The sequence below is a fragment of the Homo sapiens genome, chromosome 2 (assembly GCF_000001405.40).
Source record: "Homo sapiens chromosome 2, GRCh38.p14 Primary Assembly".
In the NCBI taxonomy this organism is placed as follows: Eukaryota; Metazoa; Chordata; class Mammalia; order Primates; family Hominidae; genus Homo; species Homo sapiens.
The window spans coordinates 120863024-120882873 of NC_000002.12; the positions used below are offsets into that span (position 1 = coordinate 120863024).

Genomic DNA, 19850 nt, shown 5'->3' on the forward strand with positions numbered 1-19850 from the left:
TTAACAACATCTGCTTCATAGGCCTGCAAGGTGACCAGAGCGCCTGGAAGGGGCTATTGCTGTGGTTGAGCCATTGGAGGACTTGGCTTAGACAACTCACAACTTGGACTTAGTCAAGACCAATGAGAGGACAACATGCCTACTGATGGATTAACAGGAGTTTCTGGGAGACCCTGGAAGCATGAAGCCCACAAGTTCCCTAAAGAGGAGCAATTGCAGGCATTTCTCCGGCAGCCGACCACTGCCCCTCAGGACCCTTGCATGCCTTGGCTCCGGCCAGTGCCCGTGTTGCCCCTGGTCAAGGGCTGCCTGACCCAGTCAGTGCTTGCCTCTTCCTGACCGCGGTCTCCACCCCACACCTGTGATTGCACAACCCCAGGGCTGTAGAATCCACCACGGGCCGTCTCTCCTGCTATGATGAGAGCCTGCCTTGCTTCAAGCACTAGGACTCCACGTGAAGAACACACAGTTCTTTATTCTGTTTTAATCAGATGCTTAATGATTTTCAGTCTACTTAATTACTAGTATTGTATTTTTTAAATAGAGGTTTTAACTGCATCTATGTAGTATCTTAGCCACAATGTGGATTATCTGGGCATTTGTGGGCTAACATGGAAAGCTACTCATATTATGTTACATTATTTTTTATGGGAAAATGCATTTAAGTTCCAAATCATTGATTTATAATATGTCGACCTTTGAGAACACAGCTCATTTGTAAGTGGGAATAGCCTGTATTCAGAACAACATAAAGGGTCTGATATGTCCTGGGAACAGCACAGATAAGCTGAGTCACAGGAGGGCGAGGCCGAGGCAGCCCTTCCAGGAAGCCTTTTGCTTGGAGGAGGAGTTGATGGGGCTGAGGCGTCAATGTGAACAGGAGAGAGGGTGGCGTCTGCTGTGTCTGCTGTGTCTGCGGGCATATTAGGGTCAATGGAAAGGCCAGTTTGGCAGCAAAATGACTTGTGTGTGGAGGGCGGCTGGAGAAGTAGACAAATTCCCAAGGGCAGTCACTGGACTTAGAGGTTACCTACTGGGCTTTGGTGGAGCCAGGGAAAGTTCTGGGTGTGGAGAGTCCTGGTGGCAGCCTGCAGGAGGAGGCTCTGTGAGGGCCCGTGTGGGGACACTGGTAGGATGCCATGGTCTTCCTGCAGGGCTGGCACACACAGACGGGAGGGCTGCTTCCAGGAAAGGTAGTTCTGGGAGACACTGTCCCCTGGGACAAGAGCACACAGGCTGGTCTTGACTGTAGTTTTGTTGCCTGGCTGTGTCCGTTTCCCACCTGCTGTTTTTTACATGGGTTGCTCAGGGCCAAGGCAGCTCCAGCTGATCCCATCTCCAACCTCTGCCCCTGCAAGTCCTGCTCTGTGCAGAGCCCATGTGTCTCGATGGCTGAAGGTAGGGGTCGAATGGGGATTGGAGTGGGCTTGCCAGAGGCACTCCCACCCTCTCTTTTTTTTTTGAGACGGAGTCTCGCTCTGTCTGTCGCCCAGGCTGGAGTGCAGTGGCACGATCTCGGCTCACTGCAAGCTCCGCCTCCCAGGTTCACACCATTCTCCTGCCTCAGCCTCCCAAGTAGCTGAAACTACAGGTGCCCACCACCACACCCAGCTAATTTTTTTGTATTTTTAGCCAGGATGGTCTCGATCTCTTGACCTCGTAATCCACCCACGTTGGCCTCCCAAAGTGCTGGGATTACGGGCGTGAGTCACCGCGCCCGGCCCCATCCTCTCTTACCTGAGCAGGGCTTTGGCTCTCTGTGGGTCACTTGTATGTCATGGAAGGGCATTTCTTCAAACCCCTCCTCCTCTAAGCCTGGCTGAAGAGAACCAGCTCAGAATCATCACTGCCTATGGAAGGCCTGGCCCAGGCTGCAGACACCTTGGGAAGGGGTCTCTCTGGAGATGGCCGTGGGGTCCAGAGAGCAGCCCTTTCTGTGGGGCATTCACTGTTGGGGTCCAACCAGTTCTCTTCCAACTCGGTAGTGCCTCATTCTGAGCCTGAACATTGCCCCAGGGAAGCTGAGGGGAAGGGCTGGTGATGGTGCCCTGGGATTCTGCCTGAGGCCTCATCACTTCCATCTATGGGTAGTATCCGGGGCTGGGGAGCCCGAGCCAGGAGGGCTGACTAAACGTGGCTCGAGTGTCTGAGCGCTTGCCTGTGTCAGTGGAGCCCTTCGCGGTTCCAGAGCAGCCACTGCATGGAGGGGAGCCTCATCGATGAGCTCACTGCATGCAAACAGTAGCTGGGCCAGGTCCTGCTGTCTGCATAGATGCCCTGCCCCCCATGTAACACAGTTGCCACCCGACTACTGTCAGAAGGATCAGGATTCTGAACTTAAGGAGTTCTGTCCTCGCCACTAGGAGGGACGGGGTCCTTCTGGCAAGGGTCCCATCAGGAAAGAGTTGGAGGCTCCATTCCACCAGCCTCCAGCATGGTCTAGTTCTCCCCCGAGGCTGAGGAAAAGTTTGGTTCCCTTCCCTTGTTTTCTTTCTGTGGCCTTTGCGGTGCCCTTGGAGGCAGTACCACCCAAGAAGGGGTTCTGCTTTTCAGTTTTGCTGACCCGGGAGCGTTGGGGTTGAGCTTTTTGTGTAAGTGACCGGGACAAACCTCTGATCCCTTTGCAACCCCATGGCCCTATAGAAGTGTCGCTGAAGCAGCGTCTGGTTTGACCATCTTCTCCCCATCCCTGCCATCCCAGGAAGCCACCTGACTCATCTCAAGGGCTGCTGTATGCCGTGGGGAGGGTATATGCGGTGCTCAGATAGTGCCAGCCAACGCCTGCTCATGCAGCCCCTCTGCATTCAAGGCTTTGCCATGCGTCCCACTCCGGGTACCCCAGGCAGGCCAGGCTCTCTCTCTGGACCTGGCACCCCCCCTGTTCAAGAGAGGGAAGAGCAGGCCATTTCCAGCCCAACACCCTGTGCCTGGGGCCAGCACTGCCCAGACTCAGAGTGGGGATGCAGTTGGTGTTTATGGGACTCACTCTTGCTCCCCATGCTGAAAGATGTCCACAGTTCCTTCAAGATTCGAGGAAGGCCCATGCAGGCCTGAGCTGATTTCTTGGCTTAAGATGGGGTCCCATAGCCCCCCGCCTCCTGCATAAGAAACATGTCTTACTCTAGAGGCCTCAGCCTGTGCTTCTGCAGGAATGTAGCAGAGGGTGTTGGGGATAGGGTAGGGCTGGAGCTTGGCCACAGTCAGAGGGTCTCGGGTAGGGACGTGGAGTCTGAGCCTGTGACGAGGAGAGCTACGGGACAGGTCAGGGCAAGGGCAGCGGGTGGCCGACTCTGGAGTGCCCCCCTCCTGGTCAGGGCCCTTCCTCCCATCCTGTCCTGGGATTAATGTCAAATGTCTTGTGCTTAATGGTTTAATGTCAAATGTCTTGTACTTAATGGTAATCCCATTGCTTAAGGTAAGATCTCCCTTTTGGGGACAGAAGAGCTGTTTTTCATATTCTTGATGCCTTGAGATCAGATGCAAAAGAAGGTATAGAATGCCATTGGGGTGACAAAGAGTGATGACGACAATAGCAATGACCCCTCCCCACCCCATTATGTCTCCTGCCATCCCCCACCCCCATTAGCAGAAAATGCAGCATCCTTGCACATGGCACCTGGCAGACAGGGCGGGTGGTGAGTGGCTGAGTGGAATCAGCAGTCCGGGCAGCCCTCACCAGCGGGTCCGTGAGCTTTGGAGGTGCTGAGGTTCCAGTCTTCTGTTTGATTGGAACTCCGTGTCCCAAAGTACTTTTCACGTGCCCACTCCCTGCGGAAGGGAAAAGAGGGTGGGTGTGATTTTCCACAGCTTGATTCGAAAGACTGAAACTCGATGAGTGACATTTCAGGCTGGCTGGGGATGTGGGTTCAGATCCCCCCATGACCCCTGTGTGTGAGGAGCCACCTTCACCTGCACTGCCCGCAGGGACTCCACTTCCAGGCTCTGCAGCTCTCAGTGCCCTCAGGGAACTGCAGGGAGCCGGCTCAGAAGGTGCACAGTGGCCTGGGGGCCAGTCATGTCTTTCACAGCCTTGTGCGCCTTGGACAAGTCTCCCTCCCTTCCCGGGCCTCAATTTCCCCTTCTTACCCAGTGGGCTGCCTAGTCCACATGGCCCCTAAGATCCCACCCAGCTTCCTCTTCCTCTTGGGGCCACAGAGTCAGGAGTTGGAGGCAGCATGACCCCCAAGTTCCAGACCCTGGAGGGCAGCCGCTGCCCCTGGAAGGCATGCCGACGTCAGCTTCTCCCGGGAGGCGGAATTCATGCGGGCCCTAGTCTGAGAAAGGCACCCGCAGGGTGGACAGCATGCTGCCCGCCAGCAGTGTGGCTGGATCCCCGAGTCCAGCCAGCCTTTCCGTTAGCCAGCCAGCCAGCGAGCGCTCCTAAACCCTGGCCGCCGCCGGTTATAAATGATTCATGCAGCCCCGCCTCCCTCGGCGGCCACTTGATGTTCCCTGCGCTCCAGCCCGGCGGTCCACCGCCTCTCCTGCCGCTGGGCAGTGCCGCCGCTGGGCAGTGCCCTCCCCGCACCGCCGCCCCTCTGGGTGCTGCGTCCCTCCGCCCTCCCCGCACGCTGGGTAAGTTGAAGGAGGACGGCAGCTTTTCCGGAGACGCTCCCTGGAAAGGAGTGCTGATGAGGCCGCTCTTGTGTGTGAAGGCCTGGCCTGCAGCGCCCTTCTCCCACGTCCCTTCCCCTTGTCTGCTGCGCTCCAAGTTTGAAGCCAGCAAGCATAAGTAGGCGCCAAGGCAGGGAGGCTGTGCTGGGCCTCAGGCGGGGGGAGCTGGAGGGAAGGAGGGAGGGAGGATGGGGGAGGAAAGGAAGGAACTGGGTGGACACAGCTGGAGGGGAGGAGAGAGAGGGAATGTGGGGAGGCATGGAGGCACTGCCGAGAAAATGGAGCAAGAAAGTGAGGCGGCTCCTGCGTGGACCCAGGCGAGCGTGCCAGGGACTGGGGGCTCTGGAAGATTCACACTGTCAGCCGTAGGCGTTCTTTCCTGCCCCCCCAGCCTCCCGCAACGGATGTACTCCGAGCCCTTCGAACTCTCGGGGTACCAGTGAGAACTCTGAACTGAGAGTTTCTTCTGAGATCCGGCAAAGCCGAGCTTCTGAGAGCTCAGTCTTCGCCACTTCAATTCCCCGCGGTTTGAGCTGCAAGGAGGACTCCAGACAAGAAGCTTTATTGTCTGCGAGTCCCAGCTCACGGTTACTTAGAAAAACATGTGTGTGTTAAAACAGCTTCCCGGGGGACCATGCTGTTTTCGCGTGAGGAATGAATTTGGGGAAAGTTAAGTATAGGAGAGAAGGAAACAAAATCATATCGAACAGGAATGTTCTGGAGGCTTGGCAAAATCTAGAAGACACTTTATTTCATCGTCTTTTTTCTTTGCAACATCTATCGAATCTTTCTTCTTTTGACTTTCTAAAGGGCTTTACCCAGCCCTGCCTTCTGGGCCCCAGAGGTCCTAAAAGTGGGAGGACTTTTTCCAGTGGGAGGTGATGCTGCCCCTAAGGCCTTGCAGGGAAGGAACAGGCAGGGGCAGCTGGCCCCCTCCCTCCTGGGGACACTTGCATTTTCCCTTTGCCATTCAGAAACAAAGTTAGGTAAGGAGGTGAGACCTTCCTGGGAGCTGCCTTTTGGGAAATGGTGATTGTGACCTCAAATCATGTCAGAGTGTGACTTGCTAGAAGAGAAATGGTCGAGGGAAGAGGGGGCGGGTGACTGGAACCCTCAGGTAACAGGTAGGGATGCAGCAGCAGTGTCCTGGAAAGACCCTTCTGTGCATTTTGTGGGGAGACTTTCCAGGCCAAGGCAAGGAGAACGTGTGGCATCTTCTGAGAGGGAAAGAGGAGCTCAAGGAAGAGGGGAAAGGTCATTGCCCTTGGACCTTGCAGGAAGCAAGGTGCAGGGGCGGGCACATCGTATTGGAGGTCATGAGATTTGGGATCCTCTCAGTGCACTGGGAAGGACATGACCAGGTGGTTGTGTGGGGACATGGCTCTAGCTGCTTTCTGGAGACAGGACTGGGCCAAGAGTTCTCTATTCTGTTCCATTGGTCTATGTGCCTGTTTTTGTACCAATGCTTTTTTGGCAGGGAGGTCACAGAGGAGACCATTTCTGGGCCTGGAATTCCTGAGAGTGGCCTGGCCCCAGTGGGGACAGGGAGGGGAGAGAAGCAACCTGGGGCACACTTCCCTAGCCAGTCCTATGTTTGTGAGACCTGGGAGGGCTGTGGTCAGGGGGCTGGGCCCTGGGGGCAACAGTGCCTTTGCATTTGAACACAAAGTGCCACTTGGTATAATGGGCACAGCTCAGTCTTGGCTGTTCTTGAGTTTTAAACAAATCATGATCCCCACCTTCCAAACAATTTAGTTTTTTTCCCCTAGCTAGCCCCATCACAAACTTTTGAAGCATGAAATGAATTTTGCTGGCCCTCACCAATAGGATCCTTTCCCTAGATAATGGATTTTATGAAATGGCCATAATCCTCCTAGGTAATGAGCAAAAGCTACACTCTCCACTTGGGTCCAGCATTCCTCTTCCTGATTTATGATAGATTGGTTAAAATAGTAAACTGATAGCAGTTGCAAAATAGTCATCAATCACCAGGCAGTGTCGCTTAAACTACAGAAAGGTTTCCAGAAGTGAGATGCTGGAAGCCAGAGAGAGAACAATTTGGCAATACCAAAGGCATAAAGCACCAATGAAATCAAATCTCTGTATTTGTATTCTGAAGACAGAGGAGTAGAGTGGCTCAGGGTACTAAGGAAGGAAGGAAATGCAAGCAAACCCGTTCCCCAAGGTCAAAGGACACCCCCTCCTGAGCTCCAGGCTGCAGGGGGCCCTGCAGGGGGACCTTCAGTCCAGGGAGTTCTTCAGGGGGACTGTCCAGAGGGCTCTGCAGGGTGCTGCAGAGCTCTCACCAGTAGGTTTAGTGTTCTGTTTCTCTTTCTAGACAGTTTTGGAAAGTTTTCCAATTTCTAACATGTATAAATATGTTGGGCTAATATACAGTAATGGCTTTTAAAGCAAAGTTTTTCAAAAGTATAAGAGGATTGAAGTGCAAAGCTATCAAGGCCATGCCCAGGTCTCACCCGTGCTCCCTCACCCCCTTGCCCCTTCGTCCAGACACCTGGCCTGCCACACCCAGCCCAGGACAGAACTTTTCTTTCCTCCTGTACGCTGAGCTGTCAGACCATGAGTGTTCATCATGGGCTGAGGTGATAGTTGATGCTGGAGAAACTAATGTTTTAGGGACCAAAACAAGGTCTGCAGCAGTGTTTCCATGGAACTGCCTTAGTCTGGATGAGTAACCTCATGGCTGTAGATTACTTGCATCATCAGTTCAGGAGAAAACATTCTCCTCCATTGGATGAATAGATGAATGAGTGGTGAGAAGCTGTAGAGATCTTGTGTGGTGTCAACGCCCTCATTTCACAGGGGAGGAAACTGAGTCCCGAGAGAGGGCAGCGACTTGGTTCAGGTCTCAGGGAATTGGTGAAAGAGATTGGAGTATGGCCTCAGCGGAGGTGTGACTGCCAGTGACACCTGCCGGAATGTGAACTTCACGGATAGCGCTGGCTCACACCTGTGTTGCTTAGTGTAGGCTGCTGAGCTGACCACTTGCCCTTGATTATTTCAAGTGACCGCGCCATGTGCCACCTTCAGACCTGCTCCCAGATCGATCCCAGAGCCTAGGGTGGGACTGTGGTTGCTGTCATCATAGGTGTGTGATTTTCCACAGGTCATATAACCCTCTTGAGCCTCATCTTCCTCTTCTGTGATATGAGAGACTCTTCCTGCAGAACCTGGCGTGTAATACATGCAACCTGCATGCCCACCTTCAGTCCAGCAAGCAGCCATCAGGCACCAATTCTAGACCGAGTCCTGGGCCGCCACAGAAACTCAAAGTTAGATAGGAGCTGGGTGGGAAGGCAAGGAACACTCAGGATTTTGAACACAGCTGTCAACCCCTATTCCTTAATTGAGAAAGGCAAATCCTGGGACTTGAATAAGGAGATTGGGAAGACTCATGGCTGCACTAGTGCATGAAATATTATGGTAAAAGCAGGAGAATAAGGCAGTCCTTTTCTTAGCCCTGTTCTTCTCCAGGCCAGAGCCTGGGCTTTAACACTGACTCAGGCAGCAGCCCCTGCAGAAGCTACCTGCAGCCAGGTTGGCCTGTGCTCCCAGAGCCCCTGCCATGGATGTCCATAGGAGCCTCTTTATCCCAAAGCCATGGCTTCCTTCTCAAAGATAGGGCTGTACTTCCCTGCTTTCCTGGTGCCCACACAGCTGTGCATGGTGGACGCTCCATGAGTGTTTACTCAGTGAGGATGCACGGGAGCTGGCTGATGTTGAGAAACGGAGATGAGACTTCAGGGCTGGAAAACACAGCTGCCTGAACCCACGCCCAGGCGTCACCCATGCTCCCTCGTCCCCTCGCCACTCTGTCCTGACACCTGGCTGGCCACACCCAGACCAGGACAGAACTTTGCTTTCCTCCTGTGCACCGGAGCTGTCAGACCGTGGGTGCTAATCATGGGCTGATCTGTGCTCTTATAGGTATGGCTTGCAAAGGACGTCTTTTGTTCCTGTTAGAGTAGCTAACCTCTAAATCTATTTAATACCTCTTCCCTGGTTGTCCATCATTATGACACATGATTTTCCAAAGGATTTACTATTAGTTAGCAGCACAGGGCTTTCTCCCTGGGGTAGCAGCTACTTGCAGTGAAGAAAATGCATGTTCAATGTAGCAATTTGTCTTTTTTTATATATTTATTATAAGAGTAAATGAGTTATTGTTGGAGACTTCAATATTATTGCAAATTAGGTGCTGCAAACAGAGCCGGGCCCATTTATTATGTTTCTCAACTCCCACAGCAAGCCTACCAGTTCAGAAATCAGCTGAGAGTTGTGGCCCTTCCCAGGGTGAGCATGGAGGGACCCCCGGGGTCTGGGCATGACAACCACGACGTCACATTGTGCCAGAGGCAAAAGAAACAGGAGCCACCTGTGCAGGCGGGTGAGGGGCCCTGGAAGGGAGCACAAAGTTTGTTGTGCCAGGTGGTCAGTGGCTGGTGGGCTGACAGCTGTGGTCAGAGAGCTGTAGGAGGTGGAGTGACCTCACGCTGTGACACTTGCTCCAAGCCCATAGCTGTGGTCATGGAGCAGAGGTGAGGTGGTAGATGTTTCCAGAGTGGCCCCTAAGCCATGAACTCACTTTCAAGGTATTGGCAGTTTAGGCCACAGAGACTGGACCCAGGTTCTGATTTAGGGTGTGCCCCGTGACAGAGAGTGGTGGCTGGAATTAACCAGCTTACAGTGGGGTCCCCTGGAATGGTGCACTCCCCAGTGAGGAGTGGCTGCTGCCTAGTCCTGTCCTTTCGCCACCTGCCCAGACTAGGGGTGGACACAGGGGCTGCAGGATGCATAGAATGTTAGGGTCCTGCCTACCAGAGATGAAGGTCATACTGCAAAGTGGGCATGCTGGCTGTGTGTGGTCAACACCAAGAAGTGGGCAGGCTGAGGCCCTGGCATACAGCCCTGCTCCATGGCTGGAAGAGTCCACAGGGAAGGCCACCTAGCCCAGTGATCAGGAGCACAGGCTTCTGGTGACAAGCCAGCCCAGATTGGAGTCCAGGTGTCGTCACCTGCTGGTTGTGTGATTGCGGACAAGATGCTCAACTTTGCTGTAACCTCAGTGTCTCTTCTGTAAAATGGGGCTGATAATCCATAGGTATTATTGGCGTTAAATGAGCTCTTGTGCTTGAAACACTCAGCATAGTACTAGCCCATGGTAAGGGCTCAGATATGTCACTTGTTCAATTACTATTCAGTAGGCTTCTCTGAACGTGACAGGCTAAACTCGAAACATTAATTAGTCACTTCATTTGATGGCAATAGTAATAAATGTGAGTGACAGACACGAAAGAGGCTACCCTCAGTGTACCACCCAGGGAGAGCCAGAGTTAAGATTTTGGAATATATGCTTGCAGTCTTCTGTGTTGTATATAGTGTGTGCACAATTATTCACACACACATACCTGCCTGCTTTTTACAAAATGGGATTATATTGTGCTTGCTACCTCGTAACCTTTCCACCTGAGAATGGATACTGTCATTACTGATGCCTTTCCGTTCAAGTTTTTCTGCAGTTGCAGTCTCAAACTTTTTGGTCTCAGGACCCCTTTATACCCTCAAAAATTATTGGTAGCTTCAAAGAGCTTTTGTTTTTGTAGTGTGTATTTATTGGTATTTACTGTTCTAGAAATTAAAACTGAGAAATTTAAAAGATATTTTAAACTTATTTAAACCTAATAGTAATAGACCCATTTCATGTTAATGAAAACAACCAATTTTTATGGAAAATATTTCCCAGAACAACAACAAAAATGTGAAAGATGGCATTACTTTTCAATTTGACAGACCTCTTTGCTGTCTGGCCTAGTGGAAGGATGCATTCTCCTAGCTTTTCCGCCTTGGGTCTGTTGCATAGCAGCCTCTGGACACCCACAGTGTCTATTCAAGAGAGAAGAAGAGTGAAAAACACAAATAATGTATTAGTATAGAGATAGTTTTGACTTTGCAGACCCCTTGAGGCAGTCTTGGGGATCCCCAGGGCTCTGCAGTCTACATTTTGGTCCGCTTTTGAATGCCTACAGAATGTTTTTGACCTTCCCACCTGAGGCTGGGCTGGGAACATCCCTCCAGCAACCACAGGCTCCCCGAGCCTCCTCATCTGACCGAACCTGTGTCCACAGAGCATCTGAGCTCTCCTCTCTATCATTGTGAAATGGACCGACATAAAATCTCTCTTGTTTGCAGAGTTCGTAACGACAGAGAACATTTCCATACCTTCTCACAATCATCTTTGTGGGGAGACAGCCAGGAGACTGCACCCTCTTGCCTAGAACACCCATGTTGTGGCCAGATCCCCATGTCGGGAACCTGCTCCAGGGATAATCTGCTGCCCCCAAGTCCTGGGGGTCTGGTTCCATGGGGTTTGCTCATCTTCTAGGACTTTGGTCACAGGGGAACAATCCAACTCCTGCCTCCTCCTCACCCCAGAGGCTCCCGGCTGCACACAGCTGGCCAGAGTGACGGTGTTCAACCGCCTGGTGCCTCCTTTTCAGAACCACCCCTCCCAGCCAACAGAGCCCGGTCTGTGCGGGCTCCGTGGGTCTGTGTGAGAGCCCCTGTTTGCCTTGGCTTTGGTCTGTCTTCTCAACTGGCTGGCCGGCCCTTTTCAAAAATCGGCTGGGTGTTATGAAACTTTATTTTCCAAAGAGAAAAATTTCTGGGCCTGTAGCAAGAGGGAAAAAAGTTATACTAATAATCAAAAGCACCAGTAGTCAAAGTAGGATGGTGAGGGTTTGGAGAAACACTGAAAGTTGTCACAAAACACTGCAGCTCACCCATCAGCCGCAGCCCCCGTCTGTGCGCAGAGCCCTAGCCATGCTGGCTTCTCCCTGCGTCAGCATTTGGGGAAAGACGGATGTGCCTGGAAGCGGGCCTTGCTCCTGTCTGTGTAGACAGGCCGGCGTTGAATGTCTACGGGTGGCATCTATCATCCGTGACCTGTAGCATTTGTGCTTTTTGTTTATGGTCTCTCGGCATGCATTGTTTTCTCGGGGCTGAAATATAGCACGCTAATGAGGTATCTCTCTGCTCAGGAGGACGCAGGCAGCTCAGAAAGACGCCTCGGCAGCATGCTGACTAGTTTGTCAACAGCCACTCGCTGTGGCAGCTGCTGTCCCAGCCAAGAAGAAAAGAGTAGGAAATGCTAGGAGAAGCTGCAGCTGGGGGTGGAGGGTACTCGGTGCCTGGGAACCTCAGCTCAGTTGAGTGTCTGCCCTGCAGGTGACTTGATGTTTGGCCCTGGTGCCAGTCATTTCTAGGAGGTATACGACTTGGGGGTGTCAAGCAAACTAGGTTAGGGTCCTAGCTTCCCAGACACTTTCGGCCTGAAACACTCGGCTCCTGGAGCCTGTTTCCTAACCCATAAAACGGTGAGGTGACCTCTGCCTTTGTGGGTGTCTGAGACTCGCCAGTGGCCTGTGTTCTGTGCTGGGTAAATGGCATCAGGGAGCCTGCTGGTGGTGCCTGTGCCTGGCATGGGGCTACTTTGTATGTGCAGGTGTTTTTCCTAAGCTGGGACCTGGGGACAGGCATGTGCCATGCATGTCAGCACTCAGTGTCTGAGCAGAGTTAGGCTGACTCAGTGTCTGTTGTTGGCTCTGGGTGCTAACAGGCACAGTGTGGACAAAGGAGCCTGGAAAAGTGGACCACATCTAGAGGGAAGGCCCATAAAGTGACTTTGGGCTGGCCATCATAGCCTAGGGATTCAAGCTCTGGGAACGAGAGGGACCACAGTGCTGCTCACTTGGAGGAGGGTATATGGGGAAGGAGCAAAGTCCTTTCTCCGTGGGGAAATGGCCCTTGAGGCTAGGCAGAGAAGAGGACGGTCTTGGAAGGATTTGCAAGGAGAGTTACAGTAGACACAGCCTGTCCTGCAGACCCCGCCCTGTGCCGAGTGCTAACGGCGGTGCTAACAGCTGCTGCTGTTTATGGAGCACTAGTTGCAGCCAGGCTTCTGCAGACAGTATTCCTCTTCTTCGCCTCAGGACACCCTTGCGTGTGTTATTACCTATAAATTCTGGGCGGTCAGGCACGATCTAAACCCCAGGAGGATTCTAGTGGAATTCTCTAAGCTGACTATAAAATTCACATGGAAGGCAACAAAACGCCAAAGAGCCAGGACTAAAAGATGACAGTGATGGGGGATGAGGTGGGGGGGCTGGCCTACCAGATGCTAAACCATACTATAAAGCTGTAGTGATTAAAACACAGTGTTGGGACAGAACGGAGGGGCCAGAAATAGAGACAAGTACAACTGGGGATTTCGTTCTCTTTTAACAAGGATGGCAGTTCAAATCTTAGGGAAAGAATGGACTGTTCAGTAGGCAGTGCTGAGACAATTGGTTATGGAGGGGAAAAGTTAAAGCCATGCCAAATGCTCCTTACAAAAATAAATGCAGGCCGGGTGCGGTGGCTCACACCTGTAATCCCAGCACTTTGGGAGGCCTAGGCGGGCAGATCACGAGGTCAGGAGATGGAGACCATCCTGGCTAACGCGGTGAAACCCCGTCTCTACTAAAAATACAAAAAACTTAGCCGGGCGTGGTGGCGGGTGCCTGTAGTCCCAGCTACTCGGGAGGCTGAGGCGGGAGAGTGGCGTGAACCCAGGCCACGGAGCTTGCAGTGAGCCGAGATAGCGCCACTGCACTCCAGCCTGGGCGACAGAGCGAGACTCCGTCTCAAAAAAATAAACAAACAAACAAATAAATAAATGCAAAGTGGAATCAGGAGCTGAATTTCTTAAACATCCAAAATGGTGGCAGTGGGTCTCTCCGCTCAGCTGCTCCAGCAGCCACACTTCCCCCGGAAGCTCACTGATATTCTCCCAGCAGCGAAGATAAATGAGATCAAATCTCACCAGGAGGAAGATTTAAAAATCACTTAATACAGTTTAAAATACTCACCGGAGAAATCAGACAAGTAGGGGATGGCAGAAGGTGGAGGAGGGGGACTTTTCTTGCAGGGGTTTGCAGCTGGCAGGGTTGGAGGAGGGACACAGGTGAGTCACATGCCCTCTGAGGAAGGCCTGGCTCCACTGGGGCTTTGTGTGCCAGCTCCCAGTGGGTCGGCAGGGAGGAGCAAGGTTCTGCTGGCTCTGCTGAGGCCGCCCATGTCAGGGTCAGGCACGTGGGGTCCGAGGCAGGTGGAGGCTCATTCTGAAAAGGCAGATGCACTTGCAGAATGATGTTTAGGATTTGGGCCCTGTTTGCACGGCCCTTTCCGTGTCCCTGTGCTTAACTGTAGGTTCCTTGTTTAATATTCTTTTACTTAAGACGTGCCCCCAACTGTGTAAGCTTCAGGCCCCATGGAACCTGGGCTGGTCCACTGCTCACTCAGTAGGCAGCAGTAAGTTGGAAGACAAGAGGCCTGAGAAGGCCTGGGAGGAGCGGGGCCTCGGCCTTGGGTCAGCCGGTGATGCATTTGCATGGGGCTTGGCCCAGCTCCTCAGCATGACCTTGGGGTGGCTTGCCTGGCCTCCCCTCCTCCTCCAGCAGGTCAGAGCCTGCCCCTGAGCACTGTCCCTGGAGCTCTTCCCAGCTTGCCTATCACACCACATCAGTCTGAACTCCCTGAGATCAGACTGTGGACCCAATGCACAGACCCTGGGTCACTTATTTGTTTCTCCAGGGCCTTGTGTGTAGATATTTGAGAAAGTTTTAAACTATTTTGATGTGGCTTCAAAATGGCCACGCATCCTTCAAAAAAAATATGCAAATACAACATACATAACCGTAAAGTGCATGCATCTTAAGTGGAGGGCGTGGTGAATTTTTGTCGTTTGAACACATCCACGTAACCAGCACCCAGATCAAGAGACAGACCATGACCATGAGCCGAAGCCCCCCTGTGCCCACTCCCAGTCACTAGCCACCACTCCCCCATTTTGGGACAACCATACTTCTGACTTCTGAGAGCATAGCTTGGTTTTGCTTGCTTTTGTTCTTTATGTCAATGGAATTATGCAGTGTGTGCACTTTTCTATCTGGTTGCTTTCTTATGTTTAGGGGATTCATTCGTGTTATTACCTGTAGTCGTGGTTTGCTCTTCTTATTGTTGAATAATATTTTTTCCTGTTATTGTGGATATAGCACAATATACCAACGTTTTCTGATGTTGATGGGCATTTGGGTTGTTTCCAATTTGGGGCTATTCTGTGCTGCTTATGAACATCCTTGTACGGTCTCGATGAATGTCTATGTGCATTTTTCCCAGGTATATACCTAGGAATGGAACTGCTGGGTTATAGGGGGCACATGTGGTCAGCTCTGATAAATACTGCCAGCTGTCCAAAGTGGTTGTACCAATTGCCTTAGTTTTGATACTGGAATTTGCTATTAAAAGATTTATTTTCTCGAACATTCTTTTATATTAACATCTAGGAAAAACTGTTGAGATCAATATGGATACATTAAAGTGTTGACTGAGCCTGGGTCCCTGATGAGAAACTGAAGAATTGTGAACTTCAGAAAAATAGACCTGGGGGAATATTCTGTGATTCACTGACTCCCTCACTTACCTATTTGTTCTTCCTTCAGCCACAGATATTCATTATGTGTATCCTCCCTCCCAGGGGCAGAGCAAGGAAGTCAAGACAATCTTTTCTCCTTACGATACCACCGTCAAATGTATTAGTTATTTCTTCTTGCCAATAATGGCTCTAACTGAGGAAGCCCATCTCTTTATACAAAAAATTAGGTCCAGGAAGAGCTGCCTAAGCAGAATCATGGTTGCAGTAAAGTCACTTTATGGTGTTTAAAGACTTGGCTGAATAAAGGGGAAAGTTTAAATAAATTAGTGTCTAGCTATGGACTGAGACAGTATGAATCCACTGAAATATTTATGAAGAATCTTAATGACATAGTACAATATTAAAAGGAAAAAAAGGATACAGAATTACATACACAGTATAAAAGTTATTTTTTTAAACTCATATCCTGTCACAAAAAGAAAAAACACACTTGGTCTCATTTTTCTGGTTTTAAAAATCTTTCGGCCAGGCACGGTGGCTCACGCCTGTAATCTCAGCACTTTGGGAGGCCAAGGCAGGCGGATCACAGGTCAGGAGATCGAGACCATCCTGGCTAACACAGTGAAACCCCGTCTCTACTAAAAATACAAAAAATTAGCCGGGCGTGGTGGTGCGTGCCTGTAATCCCAGCTACTCAGGAAGTCAGGAGAATCGCTTGAACCCAGGAGGCAGAGGTTGCAGTGAACCGAGATCACACCACTGCACTCCAGCCTGGGTGACAGAGCGAGACTCCATCTTAAAAAAAAAAAAAAATCTTTCTTCTGGCTGCAGTCCTCCAGCTCACCCCTTCTTGCCCAATTCTGTTATCTCAGCATCCTCAGAAGCTCAGTCTGCGAGCATGGAGAGGATAGTGTGTGTCTCCTCCGGCATTGCCCCGTGGGGTTTGGAATGGCGCTGGCTGCTGGCTGCCTGGGCCTGGCATTAGCTCATGGATCTCGGTTGCGGATCAGTTTCCTTCCCCAGGAGGGGCAGGGACTTCACTTTCTATGGCTTATGTGCTTTCCTGGGGCCCAGCATGAGGCCTTTCGCCAGACACTGTGCAGCCCAGACTTGTTCCCAGGACAATGGGTGAGATGAAAAAGGGCTTGGTACTAGTGGAGGCACTTAGTGGCTGCAGCTGAGTGTTGGGAAGGGCTGGAGAGTCAGTTGCAGCCAGGTCTGGAGGGGCTGTGTGCCCAGCTTCAGAGCTTGGGTTTTGATCAGGTTTTTGTGTTAGAATCCTCATTCTGGTGGATTGGAGGGAGCCCCAGAGTGAACATAGAGAGACCTCCTAGCCAGGCAGGAGATAACCTGAGATCAGTGCAGTAGTTCCTCACCCGTGCGTGGGGAGGCAGCATGAGCAGTTAGGAGGAGGATGGTGTCCACAGTGGTCGGATGGCACCCCAGCCAGGCCACGGCGGGCTGGACAGCACTCTCAGGTGACACGTGGCCACCTGCCTGCCTCTGGCTGCGGCCCCACCACGGGCTGGATGCCTGGATGAATCTCAGGCTGGAGTCACTTAACGGCTGGGCTGTCACCCTGCAGTAACCCATAATTACTACTTAGGAGTTTGTGGACGAAAAGCAGTAGATTCCAATTGAGTGTGTTAAACTCTGCACGCGCCTGTTCTAATGAGGAGCTTGTAACCTATGAGAGCCCGTCTGCCGCGGGAGGCGGGCTCTTGAGCCAGAGAAGCCAGCCAGTCATTTTCTCCAGCCTCTAGCTGAGCCTCCACGGCCAGCCATATTTCAGCATTTAGGATTTTAAGTGCTGGTTAAAATGCTCATATAGGGAAGTGTGTATATTTTCATATTTCTGCACATCATGCTAGAGACGAGGGTAGGAATAAATCGGTGTGGCCAGAGGTGCCGCTTCAAGCTGCTTTATTCCCTCTCTGTGCACAGTGTTAAACTGGGCTGTGTCTGACTTCCCAACCTTCATCCTGTAGGGGGCTGTTACTGGGGAAAGAAAGTTGTCTTAAAGGACCCTGGAGTGTGAGGGATGGAAAAGCGAAAGGTTTGTCTCTGCAAACAGGTAGTGCTGAGTGGTCGCCAGCTTAGAGCCCGTCGTCCAGATGCTTTGTTTTCTCTCTGTTTTACATGAATTTCCACTGCACAGCCATTGGAGTTTTGCTAGTTGGGAATTTTAATTAGAGAATTGGGCAAACTTCATTACTTTTCATTCAGGTTTAAGGCAAGAGGGCTGATTAAATTCATCCATCTTCCCCACCGAAGTCCAGCCTCTGAGGTTTAATCCCATTGCCTGAAGTCCCCATCACCCCGCCATCCTCCTTCCTCCTTCCCCGCCTCGCAGACAAGGGCTCTCTTTCCAACTCCACCACCTGTTCCAGCCCCGGCTCTGCCCGCAGGAGGGGAAACCAGGTCACATCTGTGGTCATTCACAAACAAACATAGCTCTGCTTTGCCCCACCAAGAGGCTGAGCCTGTGGTTTTTCTGTCCAGGTCCTGAAACACCCCAGACAGCAAGAAAACCAGAAAAAAGCAGCTATGGGCTAGGTTAGGACAATTGAGGTATCTGCGTATGAGAGAGATTATAAATGTGTACCTCCTGGCTAAAGTATGTCTTTCTCTAGCAGAATTGTGATTTGAACTGCTTTTGAAAATTAAAATGTTGGTATGTGAGGTGAAAATGAGCTTAATCTGGGGTGTTGAATAATTGTTTTCAGCCATTGAACACAAGTCCCAGCATAGCATCTACCTAGCTACATGGATGGAAATGCAAATATCCCCCCCTGCCCCCACCAGGGAGCAAAATGTGAAATTTGTCTTTCTTATTTGCCATCCTTCGAAGGCAGCACCCCCTGTTACCATGATAACATAACCTTGTGCACCTCCATTTCTGAATCTGTAAAATGGGGGCAAGTCACTAACCTTATAAGATGGTCGGTGGAATTAACTAAGCAAATTTATCTAAAGCACCTGACACCCTTTCAGGCACACAGAGGTTCCAAGATCTTCAATGTGACGCTTTCAAGAAAGGCAACTCAAGTTCAGGGCTTCTGAATCCTACTCCAAATACCCTGTCATAGTCAACACATCCCTGAAGTTCCCTACACCATGCCTAGAAGCACTGAGGCTGGGCAGTATCTCCTTGTGAAAGGCCTGGCCCCCTTCCCCAGGGTCCTGCTTGAATGTCAGAGGACAGGTGGGGAGGAGGATGGGTGGAGAAGGACAGTGGCAGGGAGGACAGTGGGGAGAGGGCAGGTGGGGGGAGGACAGGTGAGGGGAGGACAGGTAGGGGAGGGCAGGAGTGGGAGGACTGTGGAAGGTGGACAGGTTGGGGGAGGACAGTCGTGGGGAAGACAGTGGGGAGAGGGCAGGTCAAGGGAGGGCAGGTGGGAGGAGGACAGTGGGGGAAAGACAGTGGTGGGGAGGACAGGTAGGGGAGGGCAGGTAGTGGGAGGATAGCTGGGGTGGCGGGGGGGAGGACAGGTGGGGGAGGACAGTGCAAGGAGGGCAGTTTGGGGGAGGACAGTGTGGGGACGGCAGGTGGGGGGAGGATAGTCGGGAGGACAGTGGGGAGAGGGCAGGTGGGGGAGGACAGTGCGGGGGAGAACAGTGCGGAGTGGCACGGTCGCCGGGAGAACAGTGGGGAGAACAGTGGGAGAAGACAGTGGGGGAGAACAGTCGTGGGGACAGTAGAGGGCAAGACAGGTGGGAGAGGGGCATGTGGGAAGGAGGGCAGGTGGAGCTGGCGGCATCATGAACTTTTGGAATAGCAAAGGGAGTTGGGGCTCTGAATGTCAGCCCAGCAACCAAAGATAGCTGGCAACGAATGGTCCAGGTCTTTTGGGATGGAATGTCATAGGGGACAACTAAGGCCCTGTAGGTTGATTCCAGAATACACTATCCAGGTCCAGGGTGCAGTGGCTATAACTTGCAGATCAAACAATTCACACCACTTCAGGAGTTGAACTTGGCTGTGAGTTTACGTCTGGTCTCTGGACCCATGTGGCTGCCTACAGTGAACTTGACCTTTAGGGGCTCTGGCTTCTGGAAGGAGGGAGTTCCAGGAGCCACATCCTCCTTCCAGGAGGCCAGGTGACATGGACAACGTGAGGGAAGGCAGCCAGGGCGTGAGGCCTTGGGTTGGGTCTCCAGGGCAGCTCACCACAGGGAAGGAGTGAAGGTGGTGAAGGATCACCCGGGAGATGCTGCTTGGGCTGGAGGGCGCCCGCTGCAGGCGTCAGCTGCTGCCGGCTGCGGGATGTGATCAGCACTCCTCACTTCATGGCCTCAGTTCGCTCGCCTGTGAAATGTAGGTGTGTGTCCCTGGAGTCCCTCCAAAGCTCTGTGAATTTGTGGAACGCAGATGGAGGGAAGGTCAAGCTTGGGAGAGGGCGGTGGCTTTGGCTGCAACGCGAAGCCGACAAGCACTGGCAGCAGGCCTGCTGGGCTGTCTTTGAGCGCGGGTGTCTGGGCCCACCCTCCTCTGTCGGATCCCTGGGTCTTCTGTCCCTCACTGGACATGTGGATCTGACCGCCATCCAGGACGTCCCCTCTGGGTCCTGCTGGCATTACTCCAGAACCACTTCATCTTCCTTGCCCTCCAGGGCTGAGATAGCTGGTTTGGTCTCACATCTGGTCTTAAGTGGGTCTTTTTTTTTTCTTCTCATTTTGTCTATCTTAAAATCAGGTTTATGAAGGTGTAAATTACATATAGTAAAATACACCCTTTTGAGGC

The 19850-nt window shown here is 52.0% G+C and overlaps 1 protein-coding gene and 1 long non-coding RNA gene across 9 annotated transcripts in view, besides 1 other annotated feature; one reads left to right on the forward strand and one right to left on the reverse strand.

Moving 5' to 3' along the window:
• The window catches only part of GLI2 (GLI family zinc finger 2), a 256786-nt gene that overhangs the window by 127156 nt on the left and 109780 nt on the right, over positions 1-19850 (forward strand). For 2 of the 8 annotated variants that reach the window (XM_011510969.3, XM_017003818.2), the window contains exon 1: positions 4437-4575. The exons of the other annotated variants lie outside the window; for them this stretch is intronic. In XM_011510969.3, coding sequence (XP_011509271.3) covers positions 4446-4575 — 130 coding nt within the window. In that variant the 5' untranslated portion in view covers positions 4437-4445. Of the gene's footprint in view, positions 1-4436; positions 4576-19850 lie in introns of those variants that run through there. 8 annotated transcript variants of the gene reach the window in all.
• On the reverse strand, positions 3357-4379 carry LOC124907880 (uncharacterized). The gene is made up of 2 exons (XR_007087220.1): positions 4087-4379; positions 3357-3768 (listed from the first exon to the last, which is right to left on the reverse strand). It is a non-coding gene; the product is annotated as an uncharacterized LOC124907880 (long non-coding RNA).
• Positions 8819-9741: an enhancer, noted in NCBI's record as "H3K4me1 hESC enhancer chr2:121629417-121630339 (GRCh37/hg19 assembly coordinates)". NCBI's record gives its function as "activates a minimal SCP1, AML or CMV promoter by ChIP-STARR-seq in naive H9 embryonic stem cells {active_cell/tissue: H9 hESC(naive)}" and the evidence as "EXISTENCE:reporter gene assay evidence [ECO:0000049][PMID:30033119]".